Genomic DNA, 14,646 nt, shown 5'->3' with positions numbered 1-14,646 from the left:
CCAACAAAACCTAACAGGAATATATTAAAATTGTAAAAATGAACGCCGATAGCTACTGTATAGGCAATACTCAAGTGAGGAGAGGGAGACTCTGGAGGGACTCAGTGAAGAGAACAAAGGAGGTAACATTATATATTTGTTATGTGGCAAACTTAAATACTTAATACCTAGCATATAAAGAGGATATGAGAGGTGAAGCTGGAAGAATGTTGGTATTTACTGAGTACTTATTATGGCTAGAAAACGTGAGAAAATGCTTATCTGTAGATAAAACAGCAGAAAGGTAGGAAGGGAAAGAGGGTAAAAACTCATAAAATGTGTGTTTGTATGTATGAGCACACACGTATATATAAAATACATGTGTATATATTTTACAGATAGGATATATGCATGCATATATATGTGTGTATGCATATATATGTATGTATGTGCATATGTATTTTGTAAAAGTTTTGGATTCAATTTCCTGTGCTTTTTGTAACTTGCCTCTGCAGGCAATTATAAAAAAGGAGTTTCACAAATGTTTTGATTAACAGCAGCATTACTGAAGTAAATATTCAGCTTTCCAAATTGGTAACTTCAAGAACCAACATTTATTTTTATTTATAAGCACTAGTAATTCTTGTTTAAAAAAACAAAATTCAACTCAACAGTGAGACAGGGGTACACTTGGTTACACTGCATGGATAAACATGACCCTCTTGTGTTAGGGAGAAACTGAGGCTCTCACACTCAGAGGTCACACACTGGCAGTGGTGAGAACATGGGCGCTGGCAGTGCAGTGGACACTGGTATTCCAGGCCCTGCCCATGCACTCCCTTTGTCAGGCGGGAGTCACAGTAGCCATGCTCACCCTTGCACATGCTTGCCCTTATCAGGAGTTTCTCTAAGAGCTTTCCACATGAGCCCATTTCCTCCTCAGCAACCCTATCAGGAAGGTACTGTTTTCAGTCTCATTTTACTGATGAGGAAACTGTGACAAAGAGATTTAAGTAACTTGTTCACATAAGATGTGATGAGTTCAGGAAGGTGGTCCATGGATGTTGAATGAATGCCAGGAATGGGATTATGACAAGGACTGAAAACTCAGGGCAACAGGCTAAGGGCGAGAGTTAAGGAGCATGTTCTGTTGAAGATACAAAATCTCATCATATGCTCTGTGATGTGTGTTGACTTAGTAAGGTGGGTGAGTTGTAAACAACTAAGGTGGTTTTAAGAGAAGTTCACTGATACAGACTTTTACTGTTCAAGCTGTATACCAGGATGAAATGGCTTCAAGCAGTGCTTTGATCAAAAGGATAATTCCCAGGCCCCACCTGTCATTACCAAAAGTATTCATGGAGACTTTGGCTTAGAGCAGGGATTAGCAAACTACAGTGTGTGGGCCAAATCTGGCCCACCCTATTTTTGTCTATCCAGCAAGCTAATGATTTGTACATTTTAAAATGGTTAGGAAGAAAAGCAAACAATAATAATATTTTGTGACATATAAAACTCATATAACATTCTAACTTCAGTGTCCAAGAATTAAGTTTTATAGAACACTATCACATTTATTCACTTACACGCTGTGTACAGCTGCTTTCAATACACAACAGCAGAGTGGAATATTCTCGGTAGATGAGACTTGGCCTGCAAGCCTAAACTATTTACTACCTGGCCCTTTACAGAAAAAGTCTGCACACCCCAAATTACTGAGAATTACTGTATCAGAACACAGACGACACATTGGCAGGTTACACCAGCTGGGTATACTGGCATAGGCAAACTTTTTCTGGAACTGTAACACTGAGACTACTTTGGTGCTCTGGTGCTGTTCACTATCTTCTAATACTTATTATTCATCAAGATTCCTTTGTGATACATACCGTATACAAAGTGGGCTGGATACTCGGGTATCCTGCAAAACTGTGGTCTAGATTTATGGGGTAAAGGGACATGCAAGTTGGGACTGAGGCTGACAGGCATGATCCTTAGAGAAGTGACAGCACCCGCCCCCCGGCCTCTCAAGACTCCCTCCCCACATAGATGTCCAGCAATTCCTTCTGTAATTGGCTGACTTGTGTCGGCCTGTCCTCTACATTTAGGCCTATGCACCTCCTCAGAGCGTACACTCCTTGTCTCGTCCTCCCTTGTGGGCACTGAGCATGACTTGTTCATTCTCTGCTTGTGACACCATCAGGCCCCAGCAAAACTGTGGAAAGGTGTTAATTAGCCATGCTCAAACTTGGACTAGAATATTAAAATATAACTGGCCAGGCGCGGTGGCTCAAGCCTGTAATCCCAGCACTTTGGGAGGCTGAGGCGGGTGGATCACGAGGTCAGGAGATCGAGACCATCCCGGCTAACATGGTGAAACCCCATCTCTACTAAAAATACCCAAAATTAGCCGGGCGTGGTGGTGGGTGCCTGTAGTCCCAGCTACTTGGGAGGCTGAGGGAGGAGAATGGTGTGAACCCGGGAGGTGGAGCTTGCAGTGAGCAGAGATCACGCCACTGCACTCCAGCAAGACTCTGTCTCAAAAAAAAAAAAAAAAAAAAATATATATATATATATATATATAAAACTTCAGTTTTTTTAAATAAAATATGTTTACAATGTGCTTTATAAAAGATACCATAAAGTGAATTTCTGTTCACTGAATCTTATCCTGATTTTCATTATAAAATTATTTTCAGTCTAAAATTGATCCATTTTCATTGGAAAAGTTTATATCCAAGACATAAAAATCAAACTAAAAAATGCAGAAAGCCATTAAAAATCACACAGGGTAAACCAAAAAGCACTTTAAAAATGAAAGCTTAATAACACCATACTCAAAATAAGTCACAAAATGCCACTATCATGCAAAAATAGAAAATGCCATCTAAGAAGGAATTCTTGTGTCTTGAGGACAGCTACACATGAGAAGCAGATGTGTTCTGTCAATTTCTCAACCTTTAACAAAATTCAACCAAAACAATGGACAGAATATAGTTATTCCCCTCATCAGTTTATCTGCAGAGAATATAAATACTGTTAACTATTAAGACTTTGAAATCAAAAGGAAGGAGAAAGGGAGAGAAGCCTCACAGCCTGGGTTTGTTCCGACTTCACAGCCAGGGCCAGCCTTGGAGTGTGGCCTGTGCTGAGAACTGGAGAAGGCGGACAGAAAACACGATTCCTGCAAAAGTGTCAGCGTGGAACCAGCTCAGCCACAGAAAGCAGCATTCAAACTGGGCTCCAGGATGAAATGAAAAAGTCTGGGATGATGCATAACTCGAGATGTCAGAAAATAAGGAACGAAAAGGCAAATGATGGGGGAAAGCACCCTAGGAAGGGACTGATGAGTGCTTTAAATTTGTGCCAGAAGAACCTAGTAACACGCAACCCTGCTTGTAAAATGCCTTGAGAGCACAGAGTTTGTATGCCAAAAGTCTCTCATGTGAGAATAAAGCTTATTTGTGCACTAGAACTGACTATTTGTGTTGGACTGAAATGGACTGGAAGAAAGAAAGGAAAATAGATTAAAAAAGAAAAAGCAGCAGTGGGAGGCCAGGACCAGAAGGGAACTCTTCAAGAGGAAGGCCTCTCTTTTATAGCACACAGGTATCAGATCTGGGGTGGCCCTACCTCTCTTCATTGTCAGTCCCTTCTTCCCTGACCGTGGAGGAGGTCCCTGGCCGAGTGAAGCCCTCTCTGTGCTCTAATGCCAGCATGACTGAAAGAGGGCTATGGGAAAGGTCACCAGGGAGGCTGGGCAATTCTTCATGTCAAAGGATCTGAACCTGCGGTGGCCTGAGGCACACTGATCAATCTGTTTCCGAGAGGCAGCTGTCAGTCTTCCTGGGGTTACTTTCTCAGGGGTGGGACCCCAGACACTGTCCCCTGGGCTCTGGGGAAGCACCACACCATTCAGCAGTTTTTCGGGTGTTCTATCACATCCCATTAGGAGGTACTGATGTTTCTGAGGCAGATTTTCAAAGTGATGGCATCTGGGAAACTAAGGCTTAAGTTAAGGGGAGAGATTTTATAAACTTACGAATTACCAGGGAAGGGTCAGAGAACTTAACATAAGGTTGTTGATGTTTAGAAGGAACTGGTTGGTTATTCTGAACTTAAGATTTTCAGAGAGAAATGCAGAATCCTTAGGGGATGGTGAATCCGGCCCTAGAATTTTAATACTTAATACTTCCTTAGGGGTTACTCAAGACAATTACTCCTTAAAGGGACAGTTATTTCCAAGAGAGCTGATATCACGTACTTCCTGCTTCCTAGGAGCAAGGATGAACAAGCAGCACTGTGCTGGTCTGGGGAGCTGTCTAGAGTTGCTTTTGACTGTTGCACAATGCCTAGTCTGTGGACTTCTTGGCTGTTAAGAACATTTTTGGTACACATCCATGACCCTCCATCTACAATTCCAAATTCCAAAGAGCTCTGAAAGCCAACTCTTCAGGTGGCAATATATAAACTTCTTGGGTATAGAACTTGACTTGATTTGAGGCTATTCATAGTCTTTATTTATCCTTAGTGTGAATATTCATGTTTCACTGAATTAATATGTCTGAGGTGCTCTCCTTGGGTAGTATGTGATACATGGCTAATACATCTTGCTTTCTAAACTCCAAAAGGTTCTGAATTCCACAACACACCTGGCCCCAGGGGTTTTGGGTAAGGAGCTGTGGGCTTATGGCTGCCTCTGGCTTAAGAACTGCTGGGCCAGATCTCTCTGACTAAATCCAACCCCAGATAGTCACACGGATCCATTAAAGTGGAGTGTGTGAGATATCTGGGGCTAGGGAAGAGCAAGGAGACAGGAGTAGCCATCAGGACCATGGTGGCTGAAGAGATGGAAGTGGCTACTCTTTGATGTGACAGACTGCCTTTGGTACTCTTGAGGCTTGGGCTCAATGCTGCTTTTACTGATTTCTCCAGCTCTGGGTAATGGCTCCTGAAGATAAACAGGCCAGCACCATGAGGTTTAGCTGGAGACGCTGGACTGACTCTTGGGGAATCAAGTGGCCTGGCTAGAACCCGATGCCACTGATGGCTGTAACTGCCTACTAAGTTATAAATTGAATTTGACTGCAATTGGGACGAAGACTCCTTGAATTTCAAAGCACAGCTCTGAATTCAAGGAGTCTTTGTCCCAACTGCAGTTTCTATCCCTAGGAAAGTTTGAAAACTCATGTACATTTCTCTACCATGGCAGCATCCACAGCACCATTAGAAGCTGTGTGTCTTTCCAACTAGATTCTAACTTCTTTGAGCATGGGGACCACGTCTTATTTGTTCCCATGTCCTTGGCTCTTAGCACAGTGTTTGGCACACAGTATGCATCCAATAAACACTGTGAATGGATGAAAGGCCTGCCTAACTAAGAGCTACATTTGTCTTTGTCCTGACTCCTACATCACAAACAGATATGACAGAATGCAGCTGGATAGTTACATGGAGCTAGGTCATATATGCATGAGAGTGCTGAGTATGGATAGGAGAGAATGTAGGTATATTTATAGACCCCAATTCGACATTTATTTTTAAAATTAGCTTCTTTAAAATCACCAAATTTGTACTAAGTTTAACTTACACTGCCTGCCTGAAGTAGAGAAAGAAGGTAGATTGTTGATGGGAAGAAGGGGTGGAAAACTCAATAAAATGTCTTATTATGTAATGATGTCACAAGGAGTAAAAGAATTTTAGAGATGCAAAGAACTTCAGAAATCACCAAAAGCCTATAGCATTTATGTGGTTGGTCCAAAGACATATATACATCGTCACGATCAAGACTGGGACTCACACTATGTCTCCTAATTCCTAGCTTGTCACTAATTCTACACTAAAAGTCAGACTAAAGATTTAGGGCTGTCAGCATTCCATAGGACCATCCTCCTTCTCGTGGCACTTCCTTCAAATGGAAATTTTAAAAATGTAACACAGCAAAACCTCATAAGTACGCCCATCTATGATAATCTGTCCAACCTGAGAGATTAATAAATGAAAAACTTGTTTATTAATCAACTAGCAAAAACAAGCATGGTTATTTAAGAAAATCTGTTAGCATTTACAAATACTCATTTACATATCAGACTGACTGCTTACCAAATTAATTAATGTGAAGTTTCACTGTGTATAGAACAAACCGACAGACACATAAGAACACTTTAGATTATTGCAAGATGTTTCCAGAAGCCCACATACTAGAAATGTGGAAACCAAGTTTTTCAGGGAAAGAGAAAATACTTACCACCGCTAGCACTTCCTTCTCTTTTGCCACGGGAGCCCCCACTGCCATCTCTGCCTGACTTTATGCGCTAGAGCAAAGAGAAGACAAGTTTAAAAGAATAAGTGCTATTCCTTCAAAGTTGAATATAGATAAAGGTGGATTTTAAAATTAACATTACTACATTACCCTTAGGACTAACCCATCATACCTGAGAGTTGATTCTATAGAAAAAAAAAAAAAGCCTGAGTTGTTTTGTAAGTGGAGGGTTCAAGCCTTCCCCTCTAAGGCTCTTGAGAAAACTCGTATAGCACTTTAATTCAAAAGTGCAGCGTAACCTTGGCTTACACAAACAACTCAAAACTAAACAGTATTTTCTTGATGTGAACATTCAGGGCTTAAACATGATCTTTAGTTTAAGGGAGGGATGGGTGAGGAGGGGATAAGAATCTACAAAAGGGCCATTTCTTGCCATTAGTCCTCATATACAATGGTTGGACCTGAACTATTTGAGGGTAAAAAAAAAAAAAAAAAAAAAAAGGTAAGCTGAGTTTTGAAATTCAATTTATAAAATAAAAGTATGATTAAAACCTCACAAAAGACCTAAGATCTGTCCAACAGTCTACTTTCTTAGATACAGACTCGCCTTCAAAGCCTAAGAAGTATCTCCACACTGTGGCATTGTTAGGTTTCTTTCTACATTTTATGGTTCTGTTTTGCCTAAGTATTAGAATTTTTGTATTAACATTGAATCTGCCTCAAGTCACACTATCAAATTTTCATATGTATAATGGTTCATTTACACAGCTACAGGATGATTAGTGAACAGAGACAGATGGCTTTTTATGTTTATAATTGAATTAAACTTCTTAACATGGGTGGATATTTTATTTAGATCTTTAATAATATAAACATAAGACATAAACATAATTTCATATTTAATTCAAAAGACAAATTATTTAACTCCTTAACCCTGACAACTTCCCAAATATTTATAAATTGTCAGGTCATGGATAAAGTTATTGTCTGTGGTTTGCTAGGAAGAAAGAAATTCTTTTCAATAATTAACTCATTTCTGTAAGATGAAATACTCTCTTAAAACTCAGGACTTCCAAATGTTTCATAAACATATCCAATTTTTTTTCCATTAAAAGGAAAAGCACTTCCCTTGAAATATCAACTTTCTCCTTGCCTTCATAGATGAAAGAAAATCTTAAAAAGATGTAGCAAAGTAAGAATTTAAACATCCATAATCTGACTTTATTTCAAAACTTGATTTTCATCCAACCACAGATGGATCATCTCCAGCATACCAAAAAGACCTCTAAATGCTGAAAATAGGCCCGGTGTGGTGGCTCACGCCTGTAATCCTAGCACTTTGGGAGGCCGAGGCGGGTGGATTACCTGAGGTCAGGAGTTCAAGACCAGCCTGGTCAACATGGCAAAACCCCGTCTCTACTAAAAATATAAAAATTAGCCGGGTGTGGTGGCAGGCGCCTGTAATCTCAGCTACTCTGGAGGCTGAGGCAGAAGAATCGCTTGAACCTGGGAGGTGGGGGTTGCAGTGAGCCGAGATCACACCATTGTATGCCAGCCTGGGCGACAGAGAGAGGGACTCCGTCTCAAAAAAAAAAAAAAATGCTGAAAATAAATTCATCAAGACAAATGTCCACATAGCTTGACAGTTTTTAAAACCACATGTGAAAACTTGTATCCTGTTTAAGTGACTAGAGGTTCAGAACAGGATATGCGAAGGTAAGTAAGCACTTCCATAATCACTACACTCTTTATTGCCTGACACCTGTTCCCTGCACTCATCTAGAATTTTCCAGTCCTCTGGCTCTCATCACTCTTCTCTTTTTAAACTCTTTAAATTCCTACTTTCTGTCCAGCCTAGAATCAAGGCCTACCACGTGCCATGACGCCACATTGGAACTATGGTCCTTGCCTCCTTCTTGTCTTTCTGCTTCACTCATCAAGAGAAACCTAAGCCTCGGTTGGTTCAGTGCCTTCCCTTTTTCCTCTCCTACTCCCAGGACACTGTGCTGGGGAAACAGCTCCATCAGTACAAAAACCAGGCAAGCCTCAGGGCTCCCCACTGCTCACTTAGATCCTCCCGTGTGCCCCATGCAGGCCATCTCACTTCTCGTAGACACCACTTTTTGTCCTCATCACTTTTGGAACTGACTGTCCTGCCTGCTTAGAGAATAAAAGGAAAACAGCATCTCCTTGGATATGCCAGCTGGCATGGACCCTGCATGGATGGGTCCGCTAATCCCTGTCTGCCTGCCCTCCCTCATCTTTTCAGCTATTTCCTCCTCCCTCATCTCCTCAGGAGACCCCCTGTGTGTCCCCTGGTCGGGACTGGCTCCATGTGCTCTCATTATGCTCAGGGTCCGACTCTACCGGTTTGTCTTTCTCCTTCATCATCCTCCTGTGCACAGAGAATGTGGTGTTTTTTTCCAACTGAATGCCTATTTGCAGTTGAGAATCAGTGAACTCCACCATAAGGAGTCTTGTGTACTAACCATTGTAATAGCTGTACCATTGTAATAGCTGTAGCAAGGATTTCTTGTGGAAGTTACAGAGAAGGCAACTTCAAAAGTAAAACCAAAACATTTATCAAAACCTTAGTTTGATAAAGTTCTAAGTTCAAAGAACTCTCTAAGAATGTGCCTATTATGTAAGAAAAAAAAAAAGAAATCTCAACTGTCAAGACTCAGTTAACTGCACATCTCTCATACCATTCACACAACAGAGCTCTGCTCAGTAGTGTTTTCAGGCATGATCTAAGTGCTTCCTTCGGAGATGCAAAGTAAACACCCAAGAGACAGAGCTGCTGCAGACAGCAATCCCACCAGGCAACAGGACAGACTCTGTGATGCCCCACCGGGTATTCCAGGGCTGGCCCAGCAGCTGACCTTGCCCTTTAAGAGTGTGATGGAGGTAAAGTGGCCTCAGTGCAGTGCAAAGGAACTGAAGGAAGCCAGGAGGGGTGTGTCACAAACGCCACATATACAGAGCTGCTGCTAAGTCAGGCAGACGGAAAGTTAAGAGTGTCCATCATATTGACTGCTATGTAAGTGACTAATCTTAGTGAGGGTAGTTTTAGCTGTGTGAATGGAAGCAGTCAAGGTTAGACTGATTTGAAGAGCACCTGGGAAGTGAGAAAATAAAGATCAAGTATAGATAAAGCACACTGTTCTTTGGCTGGAAGGATAAAGAATGGTGACAGTGGGGCAGATCCAGAATGTGTGGGGCCAGAAGCTTATACAGCTTGGGGGAAACTTTCTGAGAAAGAGGATATAAAACTGTGAAAATGGGCTGGGCGCGGTGGCTCACACCTGTAATCCCAGCACTTTGGGAGGCCGAGGTGGGCGGATCACAAGGTCAGGAGTTCAAGACCAGCCTGACCAACATGGTGAAACCCTGCCTCTACTAAAAAAAAAAAAAATACAAAAAAGAAAACAAAAACAAAAAACTGTGAAAATGAAATGAATGCAAAAATAAAAATTTATTAGAGGCAATGCAAATGAGGGCCTGCAGCTTAAGCTCCCCAACTCCACGGGGAACACCCTGGGCTGTGGGCACTGCTGCTCCTCAGGGACACTGGGCAGGGAATTCCTGCCCACACTCTCAGGGGCCCGAGGGTCCTGTCTCACACAGACTCATCTGACATGCAACCCACCTCAGATCTAGCACAGGCATGGGTACATTTTAGGAGCACAGTAAACACTTGTAAACATAGTGAAGACGACATTCTCATCATATGGTATATGAGGGCTCAAGTAGGAGACACACTTTTCAGAATTATTCCCCTCATCCTTCCAGAGTTTTAACACTTCATAAAGTTCACAGAAATTCTTATCACTTTGGAGTGGATGTGAGATAAGGCCTCATGGTAGGTAAGAGAGGAAGCATTTAAACAATGATTGACATAAATGATTCTTATCACTTCAACGCTAAGATGTGCAGGAAACAGCCATGTAACAAAATATGGAGCACAAAGTGACGGAAATCTGTATTTACTGACATGGGAAGTGGTCCATGTTATTCTGCGAAGTGGGTGGGAGAGGTTATAAAACAGTATTTTTTGTAAAAATCTCATTTGTGTTTTAAAAAAAGTCCCATTTAAAAATATATGTGTTGATATATGTTTGTATATATTTGTAAAAATGCCTGGGAAAGGGGAATGATAACAGTGATGTCTAAGTGGTGGGATAGGTGATTTTCACTTTTTTCTTTATATATTTTTGTTTGGATTAAAAATTATTTACAAAAGCAATTTTCCTGCATTTTTAAAAGAACATTTATTGTTTTCATAATAGGGAAAAAAGATGGGATTCCTAACCTGGAAAAAATATTATGTCATTCCCACTCTGGAAAAAAAATGAGAGAAGGCACAGAATAGAGGAGCAAAGTAGCCACAAATAAAATAAGTGAACAAATTAAGTGAATAAATGCTGGAAGAGAGAAAATAAACATTTTTTCCCTTTAAACCTACTCTTTATTATGAATCTGTGACCATAAACTCGCATGCTACTCTTCCGGGGACTGGAAGAACCATTATGAGCTGGTGGGTCCTATGGGTTATCCAGGATGGGCCACCCAGAGTGGGGTCTGGAAACCACTGATGGCCCACAAACTGCCACCTGTCCTCAATGAGATGAACAGAGGGCAAGTGCTTACAAACTTGCACAGCATCAAAATGTTGCTGGATGTCGGACCCTGCTGACATCCAAGTGCAGGATCATTTTTCTAGTAATGTCAGTGACAGACTGGCAAAAAATAATTTCACCACAGATAGTTTGAGAAGTTCAAAGCTAGAACGCTATCCTCATTTTACAGCTGATAAGAATGAAGTCCAGAAAGGTAAACATCCATTCCAGATCACACGGTTGACCAATGGTCATGTCAGGAAAAAAGTACGGGGTTCTGTCCACCATACTACGCATTTACTTCCTAAGAATTGGGTTTCGGTTCTATGGAACAAGGAGCAGTTACTTGTTACGTAGTTAAGGGTTCTTAAGAAGACTGGCTGACCGTAAATTCAAGAGAAAACAAAATTAAAAACATTCCTTAGTGGCTTCAATTCCAAAGGACCCATAAACGTGGCCTTAACTTCCTGTCCTCAGACCTCTGCCCACATTTTTTTCTCTCCACCCCAAACTCCAAGTGTCCAATCATGCCCACTCCAAACACAAGCCCGTCTGGGAACTGCCTCTGAGTACCTCCTCTCGGAGCAAAGACCTTCCCCTCTCGGTCCCACAGCTCTGCCTAGAGTGCCTCAGGCACCAGGGCCAACTCTTGTCCCTCACTGTGTCCTCCATATGCACGGCAGATCATAATCAATGTTTTCTGAGCGAAACAACAGAGAGGCTAACACAGGGCAATGCATGAGAGTATCTGAAATCAATGGCCTTAAAGAAATGACTGGTGATCTTAACCTAGAAAATGTAATCAACATGCAAATCACCATCAGTTTTGTACTAAGGATATATTCTGTTCAGTAGTTTTGTTGACTTTTGTCAATAATATATAAATTGTACAAGACATTCTTAAAGCCATTATTACACATATAGAATTTTTTAAAAATTGCATTTTTTAGTTTGGTTAATTTTAAAGCTAAATATGGGATCTTAATACTGGATCTCTCTCCTTTTAAGAAATATAACCAAAAGGGTTTCTGCTCAACTTGACTATACATTTATTTTCATTGCATTTTGGTAATAACTGGAAATTTGGGTATATGTACCAATGATATATTAATTTTGAATGTCACATGCTATTTTGTCAATCTGGCCAAAAGAAAGCATTTCTTGGCATTGTTTCCTGATTACTTTGGGGGAAAACTGGCAAATATTGAAACAGCATTTCTGTATTTGAATAGTCTGAAAATTTAGAAATTTGATTTAAAAATTGAATATATTTTTATCTTTAGACTAGCAATGAAAATATTCTGCATTTTTGTCTTTTTTTTTTTTTGAGACGGAGTGTCGCTCTGTTGCCCAGGCTGGAGTGCAGTGGCAGGATCTCAGCTCACTGCAAGCTCCGCCTCCCAGGTTCATGCCATTCTCCTGCCTCAGCCTCCCAAGTAGCTGGGACTACAGGTGCCCTCCACCACGCCTGGCTAATTTTTTGTATTTTTAGTAGAGACAGAGTTTCAGTGTGTTAGCCAGGATGGTCTCGATCTCCTGACCTCGTGATCTGCCCACCTTGGCCTCCCAAAGTGCTGGGATTATAGGCGTGAGCCACCGTGCCCAGTCTCTATTATTTCTTTATTTTCTTTTTCTTCTTAATAGTTTACCTTTATTCTCCAACCTTTTTGGTGTTTTGGCTGTTTTTCTCTTCCTTTTTCATATTTAAAATATTCATTCCTCAAGCCCTGCTCTTCCCATTTTGCTCTATTCCAAACATACACTCTTGCTTTGACAGACCTCTTTGTTTGTCTGCTAATGTTTTTCATGTTCAGTGAAGCAGAAAAGCAAAACATCTTTTAAAAAACAGCACTGCTACATGGCTTACAGTTTCCAGGGGCTGGTCCACACCATTATGGGGCTCACAGTGTTCAGGAATGGAGGGCTGAGAGTGAGTCTGTCTTGCCTGGCCAACAACCCAGTGCCACAATTGCTTCTTGCTGGCACTAATGAATGTACAATGTACAATGTACAATGTTTTCTTCTTACCCAAAAATGTGGATTCCCCCAAGCACAAAAAAGAGAACAGTCTTCCTTTCCATAATAGTTCCAGAAAGAGGACTAGTTTCTCTGAAAAATCATTTTAGATAAAACTTCTAGTTTTAACATTTTAAAACAGGAGTTAGGGAATCAGCAAGAGAAATTACCCTGACCCACATAAACCTGAATTGGTTTATGTTCCTCTCTTAAGTTTATACAAATCTTTTTCCATTTTAAAACAATTTAAGAAAATCCACTGCCTGATATATTTTATGTCTACTTTTTCACCTCTTAAATTAGCTTCTATATCCTGAGTTGGTATTTGATCAAGGTAACCCTTCAAGGAGCATAAAGCCTGAGTGCTTCTCAAACTTTGGCGACAATAAAAATCACCTAGAAAACTTGTTAAAGCACACACTCACAGATTCCATTGTTGCAGAGAAGTAACTGTCTCTCATGGTCCACAGGACTTTCCAATTAAAATTATGTCTTCAAATTAACCTGTAAGCTATTTCATGTTGTGGAAAATTATAATTATTTGTCTGTTAGTAGCTATCCACTAAGATAATATGAAATCTATTGCACTTCCTCTCCCTGGGAATCCACTTTTGCCAGAATTTTATCCTCAAACTAGAGTTTTAGTTATTCCTCCTATTATGTCAGAGCAGAAAAAAATTTCAACTCTGTTTTCTTATAGAAGCTCCTAACATCACACATTTGAGCTATAGAAGGCTGACATTCTAAAAATTAACAGACTGCAGTTTGGGGCCCATATGAGATACCTGTTCCCTTATTTCTTTCATTTTTTCCAACCTCTTCAGTTTTCTGGCATATTCTTGAGCATCTTTTAATCCAAGATCTGTGCAGAGACGAACTAAGAAACGCAGACCTAAATTGTAAAATATACATTTAGGAAAGAATATAGGCACAGTATATTTGTTAAAAGCTCAATAAATCAGTGAACTCAGTCTTTTGGGATACAGGTAGGAATGATGCTTACAAATAGTATTTTTCTCCTGAAAAATAATTACACTTTGCAATCTCTGGACCAGGGAGAACTGACTTCCTTGGAAGGAGGTTTAAAGGGTCTCTCTCCATGTGTCCTGTCCTCACGCTGCCAGAACCTAGAAGGAACATGGCACAGGACACTGCTGGCAGAGAACTTAGAAGGCAAATGTAACATTTGTTAATGTTCTATAGCAGTTTCATAAATACATATAAAGAGCTATAAGAGAGACTAGGCTAAAAAGTGTAGACAGTTTATACATATAATAATCATTACTAATGTTATTACTGTCAGTAAATTCATTTTTAAATTAAGTATTATTCACACTGTGCAAAGCACTAGGAAGATAAAAAAGATGTATTTTACAGTGGCTGGTCTTACAGTTGACATCAAATATATACAAAATAATCACAATAAAAAGTTTTGTGTTAATCATGTCTTGTATACAATAACAACAACAAAATCTTCGATCACTTTATACATATCACCAGATGACATATTGTTTAGTTCTGCTTGCTATTGGGTCTTATAAAAATGGTATTGTTCTGTATACAGTCTCCTGGAATTTGCTTTTTCATTCAAGCTTGTGTTTCTAAAATTAGCAACATTTTAAAAACATGCAATAGATGCTAAAAAACACAATAATTTTGTCTTTACATTTGTAAGAATGGCCTTTGCCATTTGTGGTCTAAATTACTTTAAAATATTTTTATTATCTCATTTAAAAATAATATTTTCCTTCAATACAACTGCAATGCAGG

The 14,646-nt window shown here is 40.1% G+C and overlaps 1 protein-coding gene across 52 annotated transcripts in view; it reads right to left on the bottom strand.

Annotated features, from left to right (window-relative positions):
- Window positions 1–14,646, bottom strand: part of IFT88 (intraflagellar transport 88) — a 124,288-nt gene that overhangs the window by 14,179 nt on the left and 95,463 nt on the right. For 41 of the 52 annotated variants that reach the window (XM_047430655.1, XM_017020757.2, NM_001318493.2 and 38 more), the window contains 2 exons: window positions 13,662–13,768; window positions 6,227–6,293 (listed from right to left, as the gene is read on the bottom strand). In XM_047430655.1, the coding sequence (XP_047286611.1) occupies window positions 6,227–6,293; window positions 13,662–13,768 (174 nt within the window). Of the gene's footprint in view, window positions 1–6,226; window positions 6,294–13,661; window positions 13,769–13,879; window positions 14,042–14,646 lie in introns of those variants that run through there. The other 11 variants (NR_134653.2, NR_148463.2, NR_148464.2 and 8 more) reach the window with 4 other exon arrangements.

This window comes from Homo sapiens, chromosome 13, assembly GCF_000001405.40.
Source record: "Homo sapiens chromosome 13, GRCh38.p14 Primary Assembly".
In the NCBI taxonomy this organism is placed as follows: Eukaryota; Metazoa; Chordata; class Mammalia; order Primates; family Hominidae; genus Homo; species Homo sapiens.
This window is presented reverse-complemented; position numbering and strand designations above follow the sequence as displayed.